Consider the following 22,551-nt stretch of genomic DNA (forward strand, 5'->3'; position numbering starts at 1 on the left):
ATCACCCATGTAGTCTACATTGTACCTAATGTGTAGTTTGTTTTTTTATCCCTAGCTACCCTCTCACCCTCCTGCTTCTGAGTCCATTATATCACTCTATGATGCCTTTGCTGACACATGGCTTACCTCCCATTTATAACTGAGAACATATGGTTTTTGGTTTCACACTCCTGTGTTACCTCACTTAGAATAATGGCCTCTAGCTTCATGCAAATTGATGCAAAATACATTATTTTGTTCCTTTTAATGGCTGAGTAGTATTCCATGGCATATATATACTACATTTTATATACTACATTTTCTTTATCCACTCATTAGTTGATGTGCACTTAGCTTGCTTCCACATCTTTGCAATTGTGAATTGTGCTGCTATAAACATATGTGTGCCAGTATCTTTTTCATATAATGACTTCTTTTCCTTTGGGTAGACCTAGTAGTAGGATTGCTGTATCCATTGGTAGATCTACATTTAGCTCTTTAAGGAACCTCCATACTGTTTTCCACAAAGGTTGTACTAATTTACATTCTCACCAGCAGTGAATAGGTGTTCCCCTTTCCCCACATCCACACCAACATTTGTTGTTTGACTTTTTAGTAATGGCCATTCTTGCAGGAGTAAGGTGGTTTGAATTTGCATTTCCCTGATTAGTGATGCTGAACATTTTTTTCATATGTTTATTAGCTATTTGTATATCTCCTTTTGAGAAATGTCTATTCATATTCCTTGTCAAGTTTTTGAAGGAATTATTTGCGGGTTTTTTGTTTTTTGTTTTTTCTGATTTGAGTTCCTTGTAGATTCTGGATACTAGTCCTTTGTCGGATGCACAGTTTGCAAATATTTTCTCCCATTCTGTGGGTTGACTGTTTACTCTGATAATTATTTATTTTGCTATGCTAAAGTGTTTTAGTTTAATTAGGTCCCATTTACTTTTGTTTTTGTTGCATTTGCTTTTGGGGTCTTAGTCATGAATTCTCTGCCTTGGCTGATGTCTACATAAGATTTTTCAACATCGTCTTCCAGAATTTTTACAGTTTCATGTCATATATTTAAGTCTTTGATCCATCTTGAGTTGATTTTTATATGTGGTGAGAGATAGGGAACCAGTTTCATTCTTCTACATGTGGCTTGCCAGTTTTCCCAGCACCATTTATTAAATAGGGTGTCCATTCCCAAATTTATGTATTTGTCTGCTTTGTCAAAATCACTTGGCTGTATGTATTTGGCTTTATTTCTGGGTTCTCTATTCTGTTCCATTTGTCTATGTGCCTACTTTTATACCAGTATCATGCTGTTTTGGTAATTATAGCATTGCAGTATAATTTGAAGTCTGGTAATGTGATGCCTCCAGATTTGTTCTTTTTGCTTAGGGTCACTTTGGCTATTTGGGCTCCTTTTGTGGTTCCATATGAATTTTAGAATGGTTTTTTATAATTCTGTGAAAAATAATGTTGGTATTTTGATGGGAATTGCATTGAATCTATGAATTGCTTTGGGCAGTATGGTCATTTTTCCATGAGCATGGGGTGAGTTTTCATTTGTTTGTGTCATCTATGATTACTTTCAGCAGTGTTTTGTAGTTTTCCTTGTAGAGATCTTTCACCTTCTTGGTTAAGTATGTTCCTAGGTATTTTTATTTTTTTGCAGCTGTTGTAAAAGGGATTGAGTTATTGATTTGATTCTCAGTGTGATCATTGTTGGTGTATAGCAGTGCTATGGATTTGTGTACACTGATTTTGTAACCTGAGAATTTACTGAATTTGTTTATCAAATCCAGGAGTCTTTTGGAGAGTTTTTAGAATATTCTAAATATAAAATATCATCTGCAAACAGCAATAGTTTGACTTCTATTTGAATGCCTTTTATTTCTTTATCTTGCTTAATTGCTCTGGCTAGGACTTCCAGGAATATGCTGAAAAGGTATGGTGGAAGTAGGCAAGCTTGTTTTGTTCCTGTTCTCGGTGGGGGGAATGCTTTCAACTTTTTCCCATTCCATATGATGTTGGCTGTGGGTAGGTCATATATAGCTTTTATTATTTTGAGATAGGTCCCTTCTATGCCTCATTTGTTGAGAGTTTTTATCACAAAAGTATGCTGGATTTTGTCAAATGCTTTTTCTGCATCTATTGAGATGATCATATCATTTTTGTTTTTAATTCTGTTAATGTAATGTATCACACTTATTGACTTGCATATGTTAAACCATCCCTGCATCCCTGGGAGGAAACCCACTTGATCATGATGAATTATCTTTTTGATGTGCTGGATTTGGTTAGCTAGTATTTTGTTCAGGATTTTTGCATCTACGTTCATCAGGGTAATTAGTCTATAGTTTTCTTTTTTTTGTTGTGTCCTTCCTGGTTTGGGCATCAGGCTGATACTGGCTTCATAGAATGATTTAGGAAGGATTCCCTCTTTCTTAACCTTTTGGAAGTTTCAGTAGGATTGGTACCAATTCTCTTTTTAATGAATGTCTGGTAGAATTCAGCTGTGAATCCATCTGGTCCTGGGCTTTTTTGTTGTTGGCAATTTTAAAATTATGGATTCAATCCACTGCTTGTTTTTGGTGTCTTTATGGTTTCTATTTCTTCTTGATTTAATCTATGAGTGGTGTATGTTTCCAGGAATTGACCCATTTCCTCTAGGTTTTCTAGTTCATGTGTGTATAGGTGTTCACAGTAGCATCCAATGATCTTTTGTATTTTTGTGGTATTGGTTGTAATGTATCCAGTTTCATTTCTAATTGAGCTTATTTGAATCTTCTCTCTTCCTCACCTGGTTAATCTAGCTAATGATCTATCTATTTTGTTTATTTTTCAAAGAATCAGCTTTTTATTTCATTAATCTCTTATATTTATTTGTTTGAATTTCATTTACTTTTGCTTTGATCTTTGTTATCTTTTTTCTTCTGCTAGCTTTGGGTTTAGTTTGTTCTTGTTTCTCTAGTCCCTTGAGATACAACATAAGGTTGTTAAAATTTGTGCCCTTCCAGTTTTTGATGTGGGCATTGAGCACTATAAACTTTCCTTTAGCACTGCTGTTGCTGTATCCCAGAGAATTTGATAACTTATTTCATTATTATCATTCAATTCAAATAATTTTTAAAGTTCCATCTTAATTTCATTGTTAGCTCAGATATCATTGAGGAGCAGGTTATTTAATTTCCATGCGTTTTTATAGTTTTGAGGGTTCCTTTTTGAGTTGATTTCTGGTTTTATTTTGCTGTGGTTTGAGAAGACACTTATGATTTCGATTTTTAAAAATTTATTGAGGCTTCTTTTCTGGCCTGTCATATGGTCTATCTTGAAGAATGTTACGTGCTGATGAGAAGAATGTATATTCTATTGTTCTAGGGTAAAATGTTCTGTAAATATCTGCTAAGTACATTTGTTGTATTATGCCATTTAAGTCCACCGTTTCTTTGTTGATTTTACGTCTCAAAGATCTGTCTAGTGGTGTCAGTGGTAAATTAAAATCTTCCACTATTGTTATGTTGCTATCTCATTTTTTAGGTCTAGTAGTAATGTTTCATAAATCTGGGAGCTCCAGTGTTAGGTGTATATATATTTAGGATGGTAATATCTTTTTGCTGGGTTGACCCTTTTATCATTATATAGTGACCGTCTTTGTGTGTGTGTGTGTGTTTTTTTTTTTTTTTTTTTACCATTGGTGCTTTGAAGTCAGTTTTGTTTGATATAAGACTAGCTACTCCTGCTTGCTTTTGTTTCCGTTTGTGTGGAATATCTTTTTCCACCCTTTTGCCCTCAGTTTATATGAATCCTTCCACAAGGATTCATATAATGAATCTCCTGAAGACAGCCAATATTTGGATTGTGATATTTTAAAATCCATTCTGCCATTCTGTACCTTTTAAGTGGAGCATTTAGGCCATTTACATTCAACGTTAATATTGAGATGTGAGATTCTGTTCTCTTCATCATAGTAATTTTTACTTAGTTTTTTTCATTATGTCATTGTTTTATAGGCCTTGTGAGTTTTAAGCTTTCCAAAGGTTCGATTTTGATACATATTGGGCTTTTCTTCAACGTTTAGAACACCTTTTAGCACTTCTTGTAGTGCTGGTTTGGTAATGACAAATTCCCTCAAGATCTGTCTGAAAATCACTTTATTTCTTCTTCATTTGTGAAACTTAGTTTTGTGGGATATAAAATTCTTGGCTGACAGTTGTTCTGTTTAAGAAGGTTGAAGATAGGACCCCACACCTCTCTGGCTTGTCAGGTTTCTGCTGTTAGTCTGATAGGTTTTCCTTTGTACGTTACCTGATGTTTTTGTCTTACTGCTCTTGGAATTCTTTGCTTCATGTTTACTTTAGATAACCTGATGACTATATGCCTTGGTAAATATCTTTTTGCAATAAATTTACCAAGAGTTATTTGAGCTTCTTGAATTTGATATCTAGATCTCTAGCTAGACCAGGGAAGTTTTCCTCAATTATTCCCTCAAATAAGTTTTCCTCAATTATTCCCTCAAATAAGTTTTCCAGACTTAATATTTTCTCTTCTCTCTCAGAAATGCCAATTATTCTTAGGTTTGGTCATTTTCCATAATCCCATATTTCTTGAAGACTGTATTCATTTCTTTTGATTCTTTTTTCTTTATTTTGTCTGACTGGGTTAATTCAAAGGCCCTGTCTTTGAGCTCTGGAATTCTTTCTTCTATTTGTTCTAGTCTATTGTTAAAACTTTCCACTGCATTTTGTAACGCCCTAAGTGTATCTTTCATTTCCAGAAGTTCGGATTGCTTTTTCTGGATGATATCTATCTCTCTAGAAAATGTTTCAGTCATATCCTGAACTGCTTTAATTTCTCTATGAGGGTTTTCATCATTCTCTAATATCTCCCTGAGTAGCTTAATAATCAACCTTCTGAATTACTTATGTGGCATTTCAAAGATTTCATCTTGGTTTGGATCCATTGCTGGAGAGCTAGTGTGATCTTTCAGAGATGTTATAGAATCCTGTTTTGTCATATTACCAGAGTTACCTTTCTGATTCCTTCTCATTTGGGTAGACTATTCCTTCTAATTATTCTTAAATTTATGTTTGATTTGACTGTGTTTTTTTTTAATATTCCTTTTTTCCCCTAAAAGATGTGACTTTAATGCTTATAGTTAATTATTGCCTAACTTAGTTCTTGGTACTTTCAGGGGTGAAGACTCTGTAAGATTTCCTTGGTTATAGTCTTTGCATGATGGCTTTCTCATATGCTGGTTATATTAAGAACGTTCTCAGTGTGTGAGCAAGTTCACTGTTTACTATGGGGTTGGAATGGCAGAGGTCTCTTGATGCTTATCTCATTCTTCCATGGCATGTGCTTATTTATTTATTTATTTATTTATTTATTTATTTATTTATTTTTCCCCAGTATTTTATTTGCTGGTTTGATGGTTCAGGCTTCAGGCCAATAGGGGAGGTGTCCCTTGACAGGAACCAGCTGTGGCTAAAGCAAGTAGGTAAATGCAATACCCAATGGTGGGTAGAGGTCCCAGCCTTGACAGAGGTGGCTGGAGGAGCTCACAGTGATTTGCACTAAGGTCTTATCAAGGGGAAGAGTTGCAGTTACCTCAGCTCCCCTGTCAGGTCAGCAGGAAAGTTATCCACCTCTCAGACACACTCCTGTCCTAGTGCTCTGGCTATGCAGATCGGATAGGCACCTCTTTTCATCTGTAGGAATGTTGATACTCCATGTAGAAAGCAAGTGACTCTGTGTCTTATGCAACCCTGACCCTGTAGGGTGCTCCTCCTGTGGGGATGCAGTAACCCTGACATGTTTCAGAAAGGCTGTCTATTGTTGTACCCATGCTGAGTTCCCATGGGAGAAGCCCCAACTGTGCCTGCCATGGTGGACAAGGGGGGAATGACATCTCCTTCTCCAAGGCCTATCAAATGCACCAGGGCTGATTGTTGGGTTAGAGCTGAAGAATTTCCCTGCTGAACCCAGCACTGGAACTGTGCTTCTGCTGAAGGAAACTTCATATCAGCAGAAAGATCTGGTGCTCAAGGCCTGCCATCCAGGTCCTTCTGAACCACAGGGTATTCCCTTGATTTGGTACACTCCCCCTTCTCCTAGGAGGTGGGAATCCTGGAAGCTAGACTATTATGAATGTTGTTGAAGAGTGAATTTCTTATCAAATTTACTATGTATTTGTGAAATATACCTCTTACTATTTCCCACTTAATTATCTTTAAAGTTTTGTTAGACAACAAACAGCTGTTTCAGTTTCCTCTGCATTGGCAAATTACAATTACCATCATCATGACATAGACATGCTTTTCTATGTTTGTATATTAAAGGATATATACTGAGCTTTGAGCATTGCTTAAAATGAAGGTGAGCTGAAGAGTGGGAACAATTGGGTCAGGCAAAATGTGAGACTTGATTAGCATTGCCTATATAAAGTTAGGCATTGTTTACAGGTTTTAATTCAGTGCTACAAGCATGTATGTCTTTAGTAATTTATAAGACATTCAATATGGGGGGGGGACATTTTTCAAATATAATGTGATTTATATTTTTTATTGTTGATTCATATTTCATTATATTATGATTTCAGATTGTGACTTATTTCTCTGATGTGTTGAAATTGCCACAATGACCTAATAAGTGGTCAATTTTTCTCAGGGTTTTATGTGTGCTTGAAAAGAATATATATATTCTGTATTGATGGGCACAAAGTCCTAGATATGTCTATTAAATCAAGCTTATTAATTCTATTATTCAATAGTTCTAATATTATATTTCTTCATTTGTCAATATTCTGAATGAAACATGACATATTAAAATCTTGCAAATATTGTAGATTTCTGTTTCTCAAAATCCTATCAGTTTTGGCTTTTAATGTTTCAAGGCTGTGTTGTGTATTGTTGTATGTAAAAAAAATTACGGCTATGATATCTTCTTGGTATTGTGCTTTCTGTGGTTTGATTCTTTTAATATTATAAAGTATTCCTCTTTATCCTTTTTAATGTTTTTAGCCTTCAATTAAATTTTGACTAATGATAGTCCTGCAATGCCTTTCTTTATGTTGGTTTTGCTTGATCTTTCCTATTTTAACCCAATTCTTTCAAACTTTCTGTGTCACTTTGATTTAGGTTTTACTCTTATAAAAAAGCATATAGCAAGAATTTTAAAAATTGCATGCAATATAATCTCTTTGTCTTTCATTAGTTATCTTCTCCTTCGCATTTTTGGTTTGCCATGTTTCTTCTTTGCTTCACTCTTTTTTCCAAGAACTAGGGACATTTTAATTAATAAATTGTTGCTTTATTCTTTTAGTCTTCATTATTGGTTTCGAAGATATATTTTCCTAATTTTTAGTGGTTTCTCTTAAAATTTTTACCAGAAATGTTTTTTAACAAAAATAAAAATTATTAAGTACCTTTGTTTCTCTAGTTCTTTAGCAAACCTCTATCTTGCTTGTTTTTATTGTCTGGAAATTTAATATGCCCAGCTGCTCATTCTCAGCAGAGGGGCAGACTTTCTGGCCCTAGCTCCAGTGAAGCTCTTTTAGACTCCATTACCATTAAGAATGCAATCTCCCCACTGCTCTGCCCACTGCTGGACCAAGTCACGAGCTGGGCTGCTATTCAAGTCCCACTTTCTATTTTGTGCTTCTGATCCAGTTGAGCATCAAGATATTTTCTTTGCTTTTCAGCACAAGTAACGTTTATAATTTTCTGTTTTTCTATTTTTTCTTTCATTATTGTTTGGAACACTGGGCAGGAGAAAATAGGGGAAGGATTGCTTTAACAAAAACTTGACAGATCTTGCCATGATGACAGAGCCATTATACTTCTATAATAAGAAAAATGTTTAAATTAATTAAAAAATGAATACAGTACAAACGCAATCCCAGAACTTTGGGAGGCGAGGTGGGCAAATCATAACATCAGGAGTTTGAGACCAGTCTGACCAACATGGTGAAACCCCAACTCTACTAAAAATACAAAAATTAGCTAGGCATGGTGGCACGCACCTATAATCCCAGCTACTCAGGAGGCTGAGGCAGGAGAATCACTTGAACCCGGGAGGCGGAGGTGGCAGTGAGCGGAGATGACGCCATTGCACTCCAGCCTGGGTGATAGAGCAAGACTCCATCTCAGAAAAAAAAAAAAAAAAAAGTACCCACAAATGTATATACACCAAATGTTCACATTGATATAAAAACTATGCACAGCAAAGAAAGAAAATACATCAGAATATTAAATTAGTTGCTGCAATAAGTATGATACGGGGAAAGTACTTTTATTCTTTTTACTTTCTATATATTGAACAAAATTTAGTAAAACTTTATTCTATTTTATAATGAGAATACATATTTTTGAGCTACTAGAAGAGAAAAGAAGCATTATATTAGTAGCTATGCTAAAAATTTTAAAGTAATACAATCCAACAGCAATTAAAAGGTAGGCATTTTAAGTCAGCTCATACCTTCAGAAAGGTATGCCACCGTATCTCAAGATTTACACAAATCACTTTTACACACGTGGTTATAGTAACCAAAGTATGCTTCAGTTGAAATGATAATCCAGCATCCTCATAGATGCCTGTGACTAAAGGTCAGTTAGTTTCAAAAGGAATGGAGTGCTTAGCTGATTCAATGCTCTCGACTTGTTTACGGCATAGCTTTTAGCATTCCATTATTCTCTTTTTATTGCCTTTATGCACAGGTGAAAAACACAGAAAACACTAGATGATTATTTGGTAATAAATTGAATGGTTCTATGGAAATGAAAAGCATAGAAAACCTATGTGATTAAATGGCAACTGCAGTTTTTCTCTGGATTCTGCATATAAATAGAATAGGTTCTCCCACAGAGAATGAGCCTGGCTAAATCTGATAGTTAAATATACAGCTCTGGATGTAATAATAGTCTTTGAACCTTCTTGAATCCCAGTATCTAGAGTGCTTTAAGCTATTATTTTGCCAAGTACTGTAGATAAAGCCTCTCTGTTACCCTATGTTTAATATGTCTTTGTTGTCTTTGTGTCTTACACACCTAGTTGACCTGGAAAATAGTATGTCCTCAACAAACGTTTGTGGAACAAATGAATTGGTGGATAGATGGATTAATGAATGAATGATTTTATGAAAAGAGATGGTTCTGAACAGTAAAAGGAAACACTGAATTATTTGAATAATGCACTGAGAACTACAGTGATTTCTCAATGCCAGATTTGCTTCTGAATTCTTATCTCCTTCAACAAACTATTCCCCTATTCTGTTTTAGTTTCCACAACTGCAATATGACATCTGATGATAAATGTGATGAAATCACAGATCTGGATATATTTTGTACATTATTTATTGACTGAGATTAAATAACAAAATTATTTTTAATTCTCTATTTTTCTAAATTATTCAAACCTCATCTGTTAATACCCAAAAATAACACCTAAGAATAACCTAGTTTTCTCTTTTCCCTTTTTGTATAAATTGCCTCTGAAAGGCCAATTGAAGAACTATTATGAGCTTCTTGAATTTGTGTGTTCTAATATAAACATAAAATGTAATCTATTAGATAAAATCTAGAATACAATATAATCAAGGTAAAATTGTTACTTTTTAAACATACAGTGTGACTGTATTGTATGTCAGTTAGTTGTGTTAATGTTACTTAGAGTCTAGGACTATGTAAAGACAGAACTAGTAGTCTTCATATAATACTAAATGAAAAGAAAATGAATTAGTAAGTCTGCAGTAGATATATCTGACAAGTCTAGAAAATGCAGGTAAGGTGAATAGTTAAATATGAGACTACAAGCATTACGTAAGATTGTAAGATTTCTACAAGATTATATTTTCAGTATAAAACTATTTCCCAATTAATGTTGTATGCAGCAGCTGCTAAATAGAGCAAAGTTACTGAGTGATTCCATGAAGTAAGAGCTTAAGGCTGGGCGTAGTGGCTCACGCCTGTAAACCCAGCACTTTGGGAGGCCGAGGCAGGCGGATCATGAGATCAGGAGATGGAGACCATAGTGAAACCCCATCTCTATTAAAAATACAAAAAATTAGCTGGGCGCAGTGGTGGGTGCCTGTAGTCCCAGCTACTGGGGAGGCTGAAGCAGGAGAATGGCGTGAACCTGGGAGGCGGAGCTTGCAGTGAGCTGACATAACGCCACTGCACTCCAGCCTGGGCGACAGAGCAAGGCTCCATCTCAGAAAAAAAAAAAAGCTTAATTGTTAGTATGTGCTGAAATTACACAATTGTGAGTTCCAAGAGCTATAATGATATTGCCTCTTTTTTAATTTTTATTTTAGTTTCAAGGCTACATTTTCAGATTTGTTATATAGGTAAACTCGTGTCACAAGGGTTTGTTGTACAGATTTTTTAATCACTCAAGTACTAAACCTAGTATCCAATACTTATTTATTCTGATCCTCACCCTCTTCCCACCCTCCACCCACAAGTAGGCCCCAGGGTCTGTTGTTCCCTTCCTGGTGTCCATCATTTAGCACCCAATTTTAAGTGAGAACTTCTCACTTAAATGATGATGAGCACTTCTCATCATTTAGCACCCAATTTTAAGTGAGAACATGCAGTATTTGGTTTTCTGTTCCTGTGTTAGTTTGCTAAGGATTACAGCCTCTAGCTCCAAGGCTCAAAAAATAAACTCAAAATCATGCAATTACATGGAAATTAAACAACCTGCTCCTGAACGACTTTTGGGTAACTAATAAAATTAAGGCAGAAATCAAGATGTTCTTTGAAACTAATGAGAGCAAAGATACAACATACCAGAATCTCTGGAACACAGCTAAGGCAGTGTTAAGAGGGAAATTTATAGCATTAAATGCCCACATCAAAAATTTAGAAAGATCTCAAATTAACAACCTAACATCACAACTAAAAGAACTAGAGAACCAAGGGCACCCCCAAAGCTAGCAGAAGACAAGAAATAACTGAAATCAGAGCTGAAATGAAGGATATCAAGACATGAAAAACCGTTCAAAAGAGCAACAAATCCAGGAGCTGATTTGTTAAAAAAATTAATAAGATAGGCCACTAGTTAAACTAATAAAGAAGAAAAGAGAGAAGGTCTAAATAAACACAATCAGACATGACAAAGAGGATGTTACCACTGACCCCACAGAAATGCAAATAACCATGAGAGGCAACTATGAACATCTCTATGCACATAAACGAGAAAACCTAGAAGAGATGGATGAATTTCTGGACACATACACTCTTCCAAGACTAACCCAGGAAGGAACTGATTCCCTAAACAGCCCAATAACAAGCTCCAAAATTGAATTAGGAATAAATAGCCTAACAACCAAAAAAAGCCTATGACTAGACTGATTCACAGCCAATTTCTACCCAATATACAAAGAAGAGCTGGTACCATTTCTACTGAAACTATTTCAAAAAATTGATAAGGGACTCCTTGCGACCTCATCCTATGAGGCCAGCATCATCCTGATACTAAAACCTGCCAGAAGCACAATAAAAACAAGAAACTTCAGGCCAATATACTTGATTAACATTGATGCAAAAATCCTCAACAAAATACTTGCAAACTTAATCCAGTAACAGACCAAAAAGCTAATCCACCACAATCAATTAAGCTTCATCCCTGGGATGCAAGGTAGGTTCAACATACACAAATCAATAAATGTGATTCATCACATAAACAGAACTAAAGACAAAAAACACATGATTATCTCAATAGATGCAGAAAAGGCTTTCAATAAAATTCAACATAAAACCTCTCAATAAACTAGGTATTGAAGGCACAGACCTCAAAATAATAAGAGCCATATATGACAAACCCACAGCCAACATCATACTGAATGAGCAAAAGCTGGAAGCATTCCCCTTGAAAACTGGCACAAGATAGGATGCCTTCTCTCACCACTCCTATTTCACGTAGTATTGGAAGTCCTGGCCAGATCAATCAAGCGAGAGACAGAAATAAAGGGCATCCAAACAGAAATAGAGGAAGTCACACTATCCCTGTTTGCAGACAATATTGCCTCTTTCAGGAGCATTGAAAATAACTCTTGTCAGGGTTTCAACTGCACACTAGCCAGGATAATCTAAATTTAAATATTACAATGTATAAGCAAAAATAGTAGTTAAAAATCTGTATCTTTAGCAGATGCAAGGTTATTGCAGAAGTTTAAGGAGGGTGATGCAATCAGATTTGTGGTTTTAAGATTACTTTGACTGCAATGTGAATAATAAATTCACATTTCTACAAAGAAGATACAATCTACAGAATCTCTGGGACACACCTAGGGAAGTGTTACAAGGGAAACAGGACTTTAGGAAACTATTATAATAGTCCAAGGAAGTGTTACAAGGGAAACAGGACTTTAGGAGACTATTATAATAGTCCAGGACAGTTATTGGTGGTGACGGAGATTAAGAGAGGCAGATGGATTTGAGAGATATTTAGGGATAGAAATGTACATAATTACCCTCATCCTACTGTTTATTCCAGCTAAAAGTCACAAGACCTGGCGCTTATTTGAATATGAGGAATTGATAGGGAGGTTGCAATAATGACCTTCAGGCTGGATGAATAATTAAATCATTTACTGAGATGAGAAATTCAGCATGAAGAAAAGGTTTGGGGGGAAAGATGTGGGAGTTTAGTTCTAGATATGCTAAGGTTGAGGTGCCCTTGGAGATATATAAGTAAATAAGTAGATGATATTAAGTAGATATACAAGTAAAGATATTAGATGGATTAATAGATGGGCCTGGAGTTAAGAGAAGTGGTCTAGCCTGGAGATAAGTATGTCGGAGTCTTCAGCATGTTGATTGTAACAGAAGCCGTACTATAGATGAGATAATTTATAGAGAGAAAAAAGTAAAAAGAATAAAGAGGACTGTTTACGAGCCTTGAGGAACTCTCAACTTTTAGAGTCATGCAGAAAAATGTCAGCCATCACAATAGAGAAGGAGCACCATAATAAGATGAAAATCTACCTTAGACGACAAAGGGAAGAAAGGGTCTCCAGATGGAGGTGTCGCCAACCTGTGCTTCTGAGAGGTTAAGAAAAAGTGAGGATCGAGAAATGCCCTTTTTGATTTTGTGACATCAAGGTCATTAGTAACTTTAGAAAGCACATTTCCACAGAGTAATGGGGAATAGACACCTGACTAAAGTGGGCTGAGAAGTGAAAACAAAGAAGGAAAATGAACATATTGAGAGCACGGGAATAAAGAGAGAACACTAGCTGAGTCGTCAGGTGGGATCAAGGAAGTTTTCATTTATTGTTTAGTTGTTTTTGCTGTTAGTTGTTCTTGTGGTTTGCTACTGCTTTTCAAACGATAAAGACCCGAGCAGATTTAATTGTTGATGTGCACAATGCAGTAAAAAAGGACAATTCACTTTGGGAGGCCGAGGTGGGCGGGTTACGAGGTCAGGAGATTGAGACCATCCTGGCTAACACGGAGAAACCCCATCTCTACTAAAAATACAAAAAATTAGCCGGGCGTGGTGGCGGGCGCCTGTAGTCCCAGCTACTCGGGAGGCTGAGGCAGGAGGATGGGGTGAACCTGGGAGGCGGAGCTTGTAGTGAGCCGAGATCGTGCCCCTGCACTCCAGCCTAGGTGACAGAGGGACACTCTGTCTCAAAAAAAAAAAAAAAAAAAAAAAGGACAATTAAAATTATAGAGGAGAGAAAGACTGAATGCAGGGGTCAAATTCCTGAGGAGGAAAAGACCTGGCGCATAGAAGATGGAGCCAACCTTGGGCAGGAGGAGGAAAACCCCCTGTATCTTAACAGGAGCAGGGAGCAAGAGGAAGGTTACAGGGCAGTTGCATTTAATCACCTAATGAAGGAAGTTAACAAAGTTCCATCTGGTAAATTCTATTTTCTTTATGAATTAAAATATGAGACCATCTGCTGAGAGTGAGAGACAAGGGAGGAAAAGTATCTCAGGATTGAGGAAAGCAATACAGAACAAGAGTGGAATGTGAAGCAGTGTGGTAAGTCCACTCTACTTTCATGAGCATGAACTTATGAATTAATGAATGTTTACCTTGTTATTATACATACACTGACATTATAGGAGAAATTCTGTTGCATAGGATAGCATACACGACATCATAAAGAGCCTATATTCCCACATCATCAAATCATCAACCTAGCAGGAGTTCATTGTATTTTTAGAAATCTTACTAGTCTACAATTCATGTTATTCACACACAGTGGAAACAAAATTGATTTCAGGGGAGAAAAAGTGTGTGTGTGTGTGTGTGTGTGTGTGTGTGTGTGTGTAGTTTATAATATTGTTTTCCAACTACAACACATTTCCACTAAGTTGAACAAATTGAGATGATTATATTTTTTAATTGGTAAACTGTCCATATGGATGAAGGAGGCAGGTAATTCCCTTCAGGTACTGCTTTCCTTGATTTCTCTCTTTGCCCATCCATGAACTAGCACTGGTTTACAAATTTATCATGTAGATATCTGCTTTAATAAATGGCTAAGACAGCACTGAGCACAGAGCAAATGCCAAGTAAATAATTACTGTTTGATAAAAGTGCTTCTTATCAGCAAGGCCAGTATTTGTGTGTAAAATAATGCTTCCATGGGGCTCAAAAATAGTTTGCTCTCTTAAATGAGTTAAATATACCCACAGAAATCATGTTGACACTACCCACTTGCTCAGCAGAGATAAACATTTGTTCTAGTCCAGTCTGAATTCATTTAATTTCAAAATTTTGGCAATAGAATTAAGGAAGTTTCACCATTCAAAAAATATTTAGGTATAAACAAGTTACAGAATCACCCTCACACTCCTACCTATTTCAGATGTTGCAGAAGGTATAGTAGAGTGTGGATTATTCACCAGATGGCATTTTCATTTCAGGTTGACCACAGTCCAGTAAGCACATTAGCAAATTGAACAGAGGTAACTAAGACCCACACTATCTTGGCATGCAGCTGCTGAATGTGTCCTTTTTTTATCAGAGATCATCTATTCTCTTTCAACATGATTGGAAGCAGTCTTTGCTGGTGGTTTTGTAAATTGCTCATTAATCAAAATGGATTTATCGGGCATCCATAGTATACAAAGCCTGTACTAAGTGATTCAAAATAACGGTTGCCTAGTTACCTTAAAATGGAAAAATTCCCCTAGGAAGGTTAAAATCAAAGGAAAAGGAGACAAGAAAACATTATATTTGATGACACCTGGCTATTTCATAAGGGATTTTACTGCCATTACAGCCATTTTCTTTTAAACATAATATCCATCCATTCATTCGTTCATTCAATTATTCATTCATTTATGCAAGTGAGTCACCACTATAATTAAACAAGGTCTTTAGCTTGATGCTATAAAGGAAACAAACAGGATTCAATAGTGGTCGCATAAACATGAGTCTTAGCAAATTCACCAAGCAAGTGCTAGACTACTGTTGGTCTTTATTTAATAAGTCCAGTACTAGAACAATCTTATTCTTTACTTCATGTGAAATCTGTAGTCATGAGGCATTAGTAAAATGCTCCTTGGAAAGAGTATCCTTCATTTTCTGGTTGAATTGTAAAATCTTGCTGAATACAGATCTACTAATAAGTTGCTTTTATTTAAATTAAACTAGTACATCTGATAATTTTTTTTTTCCTGTGGTCAGGATTAGATTTATTTTGTACTAGCCCTTCTAGTTTTTAATACAAGAGACCACAGAAAGGAAAGTTAACTTTGATTTTCTGAGCAAATGCATACTTATACCATGAATACACAATGTTGCCAGTCACAACCAACCCTCAGCTGCTCAGCCCCTGAGAAATGAAAGCCAGGCAGGTTGTGTGCTGTACTGTGGCCCAAGCATCCTCAATTGCCTCTCCCTATTATGTATTGAATTTGTGTGCTCAGTTTTAATCCCTATATTTGTTACCTAGGGGTGCTTCAACAAACTACAGCCATCCCTCAGTGTCCAAGGGGAATTGGTTCCCAGACTCCCTGTTGAGGAGGATTGGGTATTTGAGGATACCCAAATCTACGGATGCTTAAGTCTCTTCTATAAAATGGTGTAGTGTTTACATATAACCTATTCACATCCTCCTGGATACTTTAGATCATCTTTAGATTACTTGTAATACCTACTGCTACATAAATAGTTGTTATACAGTATTTTCTTTAGACAATGATGACAAGAAAACAAGTCTGTACATGTTCAGCACAGACCCACCCATCCATTTTTGCTTCTGACATATTTTTAATTTGTAGTTGGTTGAATCCATGGATGTGGAACTCACAGATACAGAGGGCCAACTATACTAGTAACTGGGTGGCTTAAACAATAGAAATGTATTGTGTCACAGCTTTCAAGGATAGAAGTCCAAACTCAAGGTGGCAGGGATGGTTCCTTCTGTGGGCTGTGAGGGAAGGATCTGTCCCAGGCCTCCTTGGTTTGCGAATGGCTGCCTTTTCCTGTTATATCTTCACATTGTCTTCCCTCTATGGGTGCCTGTCTCTGGGTCTAAATTTCCCTTAAATAAGGATACTGGTCATATTGGATTAGGGTCCACTTAATGGCTTTATTTTAACTTGATTATCTTTACAATGATTCTATATCCAAATTCCCCAAATAAGATCATATTCTAAAGTACTATAGGTTAGGATTCCAACCTTTCTTTTCGGGGGCATAATATGGGGGGGACACAATTCAATCTATAACAGTCCCTCTTAAGACTTGATCACCCCTCAGTCTTTCTCTTTCTCTCTCTCTCTCTCTCCACCCCCACCTCCACCACCCTGTCTCTCCAGGAAATCTTCATGCAGTTCTTGTATAGAGTAGTAATGCCCATTTTGTCTGTAAGCCTAAGCCATGTTACCTAACACAGTTAACCTAAAGCATTGAATGCATTCCCTGAAGTACAATTCTCAAATTTCCTTGACCCCTTATTGTCCAAGTGTCAGCATTCTCAAGATGAGAAGGATGAGCTTTACTCCTACATGCTTCTCAGCTTTGTTTCCCCTTGCCTTTCTCTGCTGCAATTGTCTTTGTTCTGGCCACTGTCATTTCTTGCTGAGTGTATGCACTGATTTGCTAATGAATCTTCCCGCTTTCAACTTCATCTTTCTCCAATCTATACTCTATACTCCACATTGCTTCTAGAGGGATCATTCTAAAACAGAAACCTGATCATGCCATGTTCACTTCTGCTGTCAGATGAAATCCAAACTTCTGCCTGTTACTCCTTGTTCTTTATGCATTCTACCCTAGTATCATTCTATGCTCTAACCATGCCAAGTGGGCATAGTCTCTGAATGTACTCTGTTCTTTCACCCTCTCTGCATCTCTGCACACACTGCCCCTTGCCTGGAGTGCCATACCTTATTCATCTATCTAACTCCTCCTTCTTTGAGGCTAGCAAATCATGTAGCACTTCCTCCCACAAGCCTTCCTTCATTCACATTCCTCCCCTTCTACTCTCCCAGAGCACCCTATGCTTATCTTGTTCATTGCCCTTATTATCCTTAATTTTAACACATTCTAAGCTCCTAAAGGTCAACACTTATACCTTTTGCTCTGTTCCTTATGCAATATTTAGCACAATGCCTAGAACATCAGAGGTACTCAATAAGTGCTTATTGAATGGATCAGAACTATAGGGTATTTACCCACCAAGATCAATTTGAGGGTCTCTAAAAGACTCGTGTGCATCAAGAAATGTCTCCACGTTTGCAAATTCTACCTTTACTCACTAAAGAATTTAGTAACAAAGGGAATACATCAGTAACTCCAAGAGAGGTCAGTAACTTCCCTGAGTTCTCCAGATCAGTTAGTTGGCCCTAAGGGGGAAATGCATAGCTAGGTATGAGTCACAAGGGACTAGTCATAGCAGTTGAGAGACTTGGAAGTAATAGGATTGATGCAAAACCTAAACTATGGGTTAATGGAATCAACAGAGGAAAAAATGCAAACTATTTCCTTACCTAACCAGAAAAGAAGTAACAGTTATGTTGATGCTCTCCTCTACCTGCTATGGCGCTTATTGGGGGCAATTCTGTGGGGCTGAGTGGATAAGGTCTCATATAAAATTACATAGAAACTGTTTTGATCTATATTCATCCCAATTCTAATCATTTTTTAAAAACCACAAAATTTCCCTTTAAATTCTGGACTCCTTTACCTTAGAATTCATGATCACAGCCCAAAGACTATCAATTATTATGAATTAAGCCTGGGTCAACTGAGCAAACTGGCTTCTTCTATACTAAACCCAAGTGATCAAACACAATTGGGGAAAATTATGTAGCCATGCAAACTAAGTCTTTACCCAATTTTAACAACAACAACAACAAACTCAGGCATTGTAGGAGTTTATATTTTCTGAAAGTGGCTGCAAGAATATCTTCTTATAATGTGACTTTAGTTAACACTCCTTCATCAAGGGGAGGCAAGAATTAAATTCCCTCCACTTAAATGTAGGCAGGCTTTTGACTACAATGGAAGTGATGTTGCCTTCTGATGTCTCATTTTCTTAGAATGTTTGCTTAGAATCCCAACACAGACCACGAGAAAGTCCAAGTAGGCCATGGCAGCGATATGAGTATGGATCTTGAGAATAAAACCTCCAGACCCCAGTTAAGCTTCCCCCGTTGACACCACATGGAACAGAGACAAGCTATCCCTGCCAAGCCCTCCCCAAATTGCAGATTTAAAAGCAAAACAAATGACTGTTGTTTTCACTCACTAAGCTTTGGAGTGGTTTGTTATGCAGTGACAATAACCAGAAGAGATTTTGATAGTTGGATATGGGGTGCTGCCAAAACAAAAACTTAAAATACGTGGCATTAGCACCGAGATTGGGCAGCAGACAGAAGCTGGAAGAGCCCCAAAGCCAGTGCCTGTCAAGCCAAAAGGGCCAAGGAAGGATGGATTTGTGGAAGCCTTAAAAGCTATAAGAAAGGTGTTGATGAAAGCTTAAAGGAAAGAAAACGTAACTGTAAGCTGAAAGAAAGTTTCTTCTCTCTCTGCAGTGTTTTACCTAGACCTGTGGCAAAAATCTAAGACTCACTCCCTCTCTCTGTGCATGTACAAAGAAGAGGTTTGGTAAGCAGGGTGATGACAGCCTTCAACAAGCCAGGAAGAGAGCTCTCACCAGAACCTGACCATGCCAGTACCCTGCAGATTTCCAGCCTCCAGAACAAGGACGTAATACAAATGATGCAGCTTCCTCTTAGTTCTTTGGGGATGCTTGCTCTCAGAATCCAGGCAGTAGTCAGGAGGAAACCCAAGCAGTGCCTGGAGAGCAAAAAAGGCCTCCAGTCCATTGCCTTAGCCAAGTTACTGGTACATAGCCAACACTAACTTTCAGCCATATGAGCTGGCCATCTTAAAAGTGTTCCTCTATTCCCCAGTTGAACAGCCCGAGATCATAAGATGTGACACAGATAATCAGTCCCTGACAAGCCCTGTCAAACTTGCAGATTTGTGAGCAAAATAAATGACTGATGTCAGTTTGTTTTGGGGTGGCCTGTTAATAACAATAGATAACTGATACAGGCATCATCTCCTTTATGTCTTCCTCAAGCTCCAGGTAAGGTTAAGTACTCCCCCATTTTTGCTCCCAAAGAACTCTTTGTGAAACACTATCTTAGCAATTATTGTGCTCTGTTGAATTTAACTCTTCACTTGTCTACCTCTTCGAGCTCAAGGGTAATATCATGCTTTTTGAAAAATTACCTCCTCAAATATATTATATTTGTCACATTCTCTCTTTCTTCTCCTCTGGAACTTTGATTAGACGAGAAAACTTTGCAGTATATCTTTCAAGTCTCTCAGCTTCTCTTTCATATTTTCCACATTTTTGTCTCTGTGCAACATTCTGAAAAATTTCTTGTGGCTTAATTTCCAGTTCACTATATCTCCCTTCAGCTGAATCTCATCTGCTGTTCCACTCATTCATTGAGTTTTAAATTGCATGTGTGTATGTGTAAGTAATTGGAATTTTTTTCATTTCTAAAAGTTTTTTTTTTCCTCTCCAATATGCTAGGTCATTTTCTTTTAGTTTCTATTCCCAAAAAATATCTTCAGGCTCACTTTTTCTTTATAATGGCACAGTCATTGTATAGTCTACATCTACTAATTCCAGTATTTGAAAGCACTTAAGGTGTGGATCGGCTCTTCCTTGTTTTTGTTGGTTCCTGTTGGGTTTTCTTTCCCTATAGGCTTAATTATTAGAAACTGTTAATTTTAATAATAGGAAAATTATTCATAGAAATTATTTGGGGCCCTGGAGGAGAGTATATTTCTCTCCAGAGGGATTACATTTGCTTCCACTTGATACCTGAGGGTATTAGTTTAAATGCATGAACTGACATTTTTTGGACCACCAAGGTGATATGAATTTTGTGTGGCAATCTGTGAGGGCTAGTTAGTAGTAATAATTCTTCAGGAATTTCCCACCCCCTGACCTGCCTTGTTCTGCTCACAAAAAATCATCTTTCCTTGGAGTCCCCTTGGGGTGGGGAATACAGGATTACCTCTGATTCCTCTAAGGCTGTAGCCCTTGGAATCCTAGTTCTATGGAGGAAGGATTTCCTATTACAGTCCCTGAGCTGGACAGGCTGTGTAGATATTTGTTTTCAGTATCCAAAGCCACAGAAGTCTTGAGCACTGAAGTTCATTAGCAGGTTCAGTAAGCTCCCCCAGGACAAATGTGACTTTAGTGCAGCATTTATTTCCTACCCTCGCCAATGTTTTGGCTTGATTATTTCTTACTAACCAACTAATAAAAAGAAATTCCTAATTTAGATGTGATTCGATTTCTGTAATTTTCATATCAGCTTTTTGATACTTTTAAGAAGTTTTTTTCTTTTCTATATCGTATCCAGCATTTTTATTTGTTTTCAGCAAGAGTTGACCTGAGCCTGATCAGCCTTGTTATCTGTGTCCATGTCATTTTCATCCTTGTATCCTCAGCATTCAAAATTGTGCCCCAGCATGCATAAGAACTCAATTAGTTTTTGACTACTTAATCAATACATAGCTGTGTCTTCAATTTTGCATTCCTTCCTCTATCACACCTGATATTCCCCTACCCTCTGTGCCCCAATTAAAGCTCTTTCACATTTTGCATATCTATTTCCTGCATTTTCCTATTTTAATGAAGCTTCCCCCCCTGAATATGCTATTTCCCTCATTATCTCTCTTACGGAAAAGGAAAAGTTCTCATTCTTGTCAACTTCCATAGCCTGGGGTCAGCATTGTTTTCATTCTCCATGACCGCTGTGGGTCACTTTCTATTATTTGGCCTTCATCCAAACTCTGATGCTCATCTGAAGTTTACACTATTCTATTATAACATTCTTTTTGTAATTTTATTGTTATCATATGTGGACCTCCAGTCATATCTCTACATTTCTTGAGGGTTTCAGTATTTGATTCCTAATATCTACCCCACCTCATCCCCTAGTAAAATGCAGCACTACAGCATAGTGTTTAAGAGCACAAGTTAGACAACTCAAGGTCAAGTACCAAATCTACCCCTCATTAACATGTAACCTTGGGAGGCCAGCTAATGTTTCAATGCCTCAGTTTCCTTATCTCTAAAATGAGAATAATGATATTAATACCTCACAGCATTGTAAGAATCATATGGAATAATGCATATAAAGCACTTAGAACAGTATCTGCCACATAATAAATGCTCAATAAATTTACTATTTTCATTACTGCACTATTACCTTAAAAGTCTTCCTTCTGTATGTTTATGATTCATTAACACCCTAGCCTCAGTACTGCTCAAAAATCCATTTTTTTCACTTGTACAAAATTCCCTAGACTATTACGTATAATGGCTTTTCTGAATTTTATTTACTTATTTATTTAGAGACAGGGTATCACTGTGTCACCCAGGCTGCAGTGCAGTGGTGTGACCACGGTTTACTGTAGCCTTGACCTCCCAAACTCAGGCAATCCTCCCACCTCAGCCTCCTGAATAGCTGGGACTACAGGCATGGGCCATCACGTCCAGCTAATTTTTTAATTGTTTGTAGCAATGGGGTTTCACCAGGTTGCCCAGGCTAGTTTTGAACTCCTGAGCTCAAGTGATCCACCCACCTTGTCTAGGATTACAGGCATGAGGTAGTGTCTGTAATAGGCTAGTGCTAAGAATATAGGCATGAGCCATCGCTCCTGGACTGAATTTTAATTTAACCCTTCTTAAGATCTAGCTCTTACTTTCGGCCAATAACCTTTTATCTTACCCAGAAATTGAATCCATTTGAAAATAAATATTTCAGAATTTCTCTATATTCATAACCATGCTGTCTTCTCGCTACTCTGTGGGGAAGCAAGGTCTGTGTTTCCCTAAACTAGCTGAGTCTTAACTTCTACCCATTCTGTTCTTTTTATTCTTTATCTTCAATACCTTGCTCTACCAGAAAATTCCTCTAAACTTGATCAAGTCTTATTTATCCTAACATAAACCAGCTATTTCCCTCTTGCACCTGCTTTCTTCTTATGTTACTATCATACCTCTTCTTCTAATCTCCTTGAAAGAGTCATCCGTACTCTCTACTCCATTTCCCAGTGTCTTATTTCCCATTT

The 22,551-nt window shown here is 37.1% G+C and overlaps 1 protein-coding gene across 22 annotated transcripts in view; it reads right to left on the minus strand.

Moving 5' to 3' along the window:
* ANKS1B (ankyrin repeat and sterile alpha motif domain containing 1B) overlaps positions 1 to 22,551 on the minus strand; it is a 1,250,151-nt gene that overhangs the window by 746,338 nt on the left and 481,262 nt on the right. The window lies entirely within an intron of this gene.

Source organism: Homo sapiens, chromosome 12, assembly GCF_000001405.40.
Source record: "Homo sapiens chromosome 12, GRCh38.p14 Primary Assembly".
NCBI lineage: Eukaryota > Metazoa > Chordata > Mammalia > Primates > Hominidae > Homo > Homo sapiens.